This window comes from Homo sapiens, chromosome 3 (genome assembly GCF_000001405.40).
Source record: "Homo sapiens chromosome 3, GRCh38.p14 Primary Assembly".
Lineage (NCBI taxonomy): Eukaryota > Metazoa > Chordata > Mammalia > Primates > Hominidae > Homo > Homo sapiens.
This window is the reverse complement of record NC_000003.12, coordinates 43,260,097-43,263,622: the sequence shown is the minus strand read 5'-3', so window position 1 is coordinate 43,263,622 and position 3,526 is coordinate 43,260,097. Positions and strand designations below refer to the sequence as shown.

General features: G+C 45.7%; 1 long non-coding RNA gene across 1 annotated transcript; it reads left to right on the top strand.

Moving 5' to 3' along the window:
- The first annotated feature begins 1,047 nt into the window (after positions 1–1,047).
- Positions 1,048–3,266, top strand: LOC105377052 (uncharacterized). Its single transcript, XR_940778.1, has 3 exons — positions 1,048–1,137; positions 2,287–2,428; positions 3,074–3,266. It is a non-coding gene; the product is annotated as an uncharacterized LOC105377052 (long non-coding RNA).
- Positions 3,267–3,526: the final 260 nt, after the last annotated feature.

Here is a 3,526-nt window from a genome sequence, read left to right as displayed (position 1 = left end):
TGGCTAATTTTTGTATTTTTAGTAGAGATGGGGTTTCACCATCTTGGCCAGGCTGGTCTCGAGCTCCTGACCTCATGATCCACCTGCCTTGGCCTCCCAAAGTGCTGGGATTACAGGTGTGAGCCACTGTGCCCAGCCTTTTTTCTTAAATTAACTTTTTATTTTGGAATAATTTTAGATTTACACAAAAGTTGCAAACATGATGCAGAGTTCCCATATACCCTTCACCTATTTCCCCCAAATGTCAATATCATACATAGCTATGGAACATTTGTCAAAACTCAGAAATTAACATTGGTACAATACTGTTAGTGAAACTACAAAGTCTCTTCAGATTTTGCCAATTTTTCTACTATGTCCTTTGTGTTGTCTAGGATCCTCTTCAGGGTATACATTGGGTGGACATAGTGCTCAGTTTTTATAAGTCTTCATTCTCCCCAGGTGTAATGTGCAAAATACTAATAAGGAAATATTGTCTTTATATTATCTGATGTTTGAGCTTCAGAATAAAACACTGGATACCTACCACCCTTGTATCAGTAGTTTGGGAAAGTGGGGAGTTTATTTTGAGTTGTCTTTGTCCAGGACCCTACAGAGGACCTGGTGTGAAGTTGAGGAGGATGGCTAAGACACAGCAGTGGTACCCTGCTTGGCAGGGGTGCAGGGTCCCAGGGCTTCGAGTGCTTGGCCTATAGAGGCCACTTGTTATTTCCTCTTTTAAGAGTAAGGAGCATAAGTGGGGACAAGTAACACACAGTAACATACTGTGGGCACACAGAGGGCCAAGAGGGAATGCAGCAATCTTCCCTTCTTTTCTCTCTCTCTCACCTTCCTTCCTTCTCTGAAATCTTCCCTTCTTTTCTCTCTCTCTCCTTCCTTCCTTCCTTCCTTCCTTCTTCTTTCCTTCCTTCCTCCCTCCCTCCCTCCCTCCCTTCCCTCCTTCCTTTCCTCTGTACCATTTCTCCTTTGTTCATCACTCAACAAATGTTTGAGTGTTAGGCACTGTGCTATGAGGTGCTGAGGATGTATCTGTTAACAGGACAGGCACCATCCCTGCCTTTGTGGAGCCTGCCATCTAGCAAGGAGGAGAGGCTTTCTTCAAATGACCCCACGAATAACTATACAACTACAGCTATGGTAAGTGCTATAAAGTGAGCTACCAGGAGACTTAATCTGGTCCAGCTGATCTAATCTGGGTGTCAAGGAAGGTTTCTGTGGGGAAATGACATTTAAGCTGAGTGTGACTAATGGGTAGGAGCTGCTAAGACAAGGCAAAAAGAGCAACCCAGGAAGACGACACAATTTGGGCAAAGGCTGGAGGTGGGAAAGAGTGCTGGCATGCATGGTCCCTCGTACAAAGAGGCTTTTCACAAACTTTGTTGAACAGATGAACGAAGCTCTCAGTTTACAATGTATTTGAAGGTATGTTTATTTAAGACACTAGAAATCCAACCAAAAATACTTGCCAATAGGACCCCAGATCCCCACCATGACCCCCGGTCTCCCAATTCCTATCAAAACAATCTTTCAGCATTATTTGGAACCTCCAAGGTAACCTACCTTCTTTCCCTCAGCCCAAACTATGGCCCAGCATGTAGTCACCCAGCTAACCCAGCCACCCTGGCTGGAGTGGATGGTGCTCTGCCCTGCTGGCATGGGCCAGGCCCCTGGCATCGTCAGTTTCACCTCCCTCCAGTTTCAGGTGTGTCCTCCCTAGCATGCTGGGGGTCTTTTGCTCTAGCTTCGACTGCAGCTGTGTGCATTGTAGTAGTTCACCCCATCATCCATCAAATCTCCTTACAGGATGACATACCCTCCTCTCTTGCAGGACCCCGTTGACCTGGAATCTTTATCTGCATAACTGCTGATGAAGGTCACTTGGTAGCCAACTACCAGGAGGTAGCTGACTATCTCAGGGAATCTTTGGAAGCCCATCAGGGCATGCTTGACAAGAGACTGGAGACCCAATCTTAGAGCTGCTGGCAAACTGGGCAACAGAAATGCTAAGGCCCAGAAATGCTATATTTGCCCTGGCATTACTGCATCTCTCATGGTTCCATCAGTCCCTGGAAGAATTGACTAGGGCAGTGAGAGGAGGATCTTCTTTTTGACTTCCCCTAAATCTCAAGGCCACACATAAAGAGATGTCCCAGGGTGTCCCAGAGGTAGAATAAGGCAGGAAGTTGGATGCAAGACAACCCATACTGTGACATATGTCTGCTATGATAATTTTATTTCTTCAGCCATCATCCAATGACTGCTTTATATGATTAAAATCAATCCTAGGCAGTGGAAACCCAAAGGGGAATAGACACAGGACTGTCTCTTCAGGAGCCTGCCTTTACCCTTGGAGGGAGCAGATGGGAGACACATCGGTGCTATAAGTGCTGGAAGGGCCTCTAAGCATGTCTGTGCTGGATGCGCAAAGGTGCGATTAATTCTGATTTGGGGAGATGGGCAGGGGTGGTTGGTAAACCTTGATAGTAGAGGTAACACTGGAGTTACTTATTACTTAATGAAAGTGGGTTGTTGAAACAGGCAGCTTGTGAGTTTAGGCAAGGTATGAGAACATTCCAGGCAGAGAGAACAGCAGATGCAAATGCATGGAGGTGTGAAGTAGGCACAATGTTTAAGGAGTTGTAAGCCATTTGTTAGGGCTGGAATTCCCAACTTGAATGAATTCTGGCAAAAAATTTAGGCTGCTCAGATAGGGAGAACTGGGTTGTGCCTGAGACTTCGGATTTTATTCTCTAGACCTGTGCAGTTCAATATGGTAGCCATATGTGACAATTTAAATTGGCTAAAATGAAATACAATTAAAAATCCCATTCTTCAGACAAGCACCCACATTTCAAGTGCTCAGTAGCCACTTGTGAGTAAGGGTTCTATATCTGCTCTGTCCAGTAGCCATACAGCCACCCAGCTGTCCAATATGGCTATTGGGCAGAGCAGATATAGGACATTTCTACCATCATAGGAAGTCCTATGGAACAGTGCTGGTCTAGACCACAGGAGGGGGACTGTGAGAGAATTTTATGCAAGGAAATGACATATCCATATTTGTATTTCACAGAGTTCTCCTTGTGGCCACTTGAGGATGGATCAGAAGGGGCATAACAGAAGGCTAGCGATCAGTTAGAAGATGATTGAAACTGCCAAGCAAAGAGTCTGTGGTCACAACAGAGGAATTGTCCCCCTTTGTTTTGTGGAAAGCTGAGTGGAGAATATTCCGGGTGACCAATGTTTCACCTCAGTCCCGATGTCCTCCCAGCTCAATTTGGGAGATAGGAGTCCCCTCAAAATCATAAACTAGCGAATCTGGGCATCCCACCTAGTAGGAAGAATCTCATTTCATCTCCGGTAGGTCCTGGAGCTTGTTATGTAAACATTGTGTGTTCACCAGACCCAGGATCTCCAGCTCCTAGGAGTCACATGTCCAAGAACCACCTCACTCACACCAGGTAAGGGGAGAAGATTCAAGTTTTGCCACCATGAACGTCAGGTCAGATGTTCAACTGAATCCCTA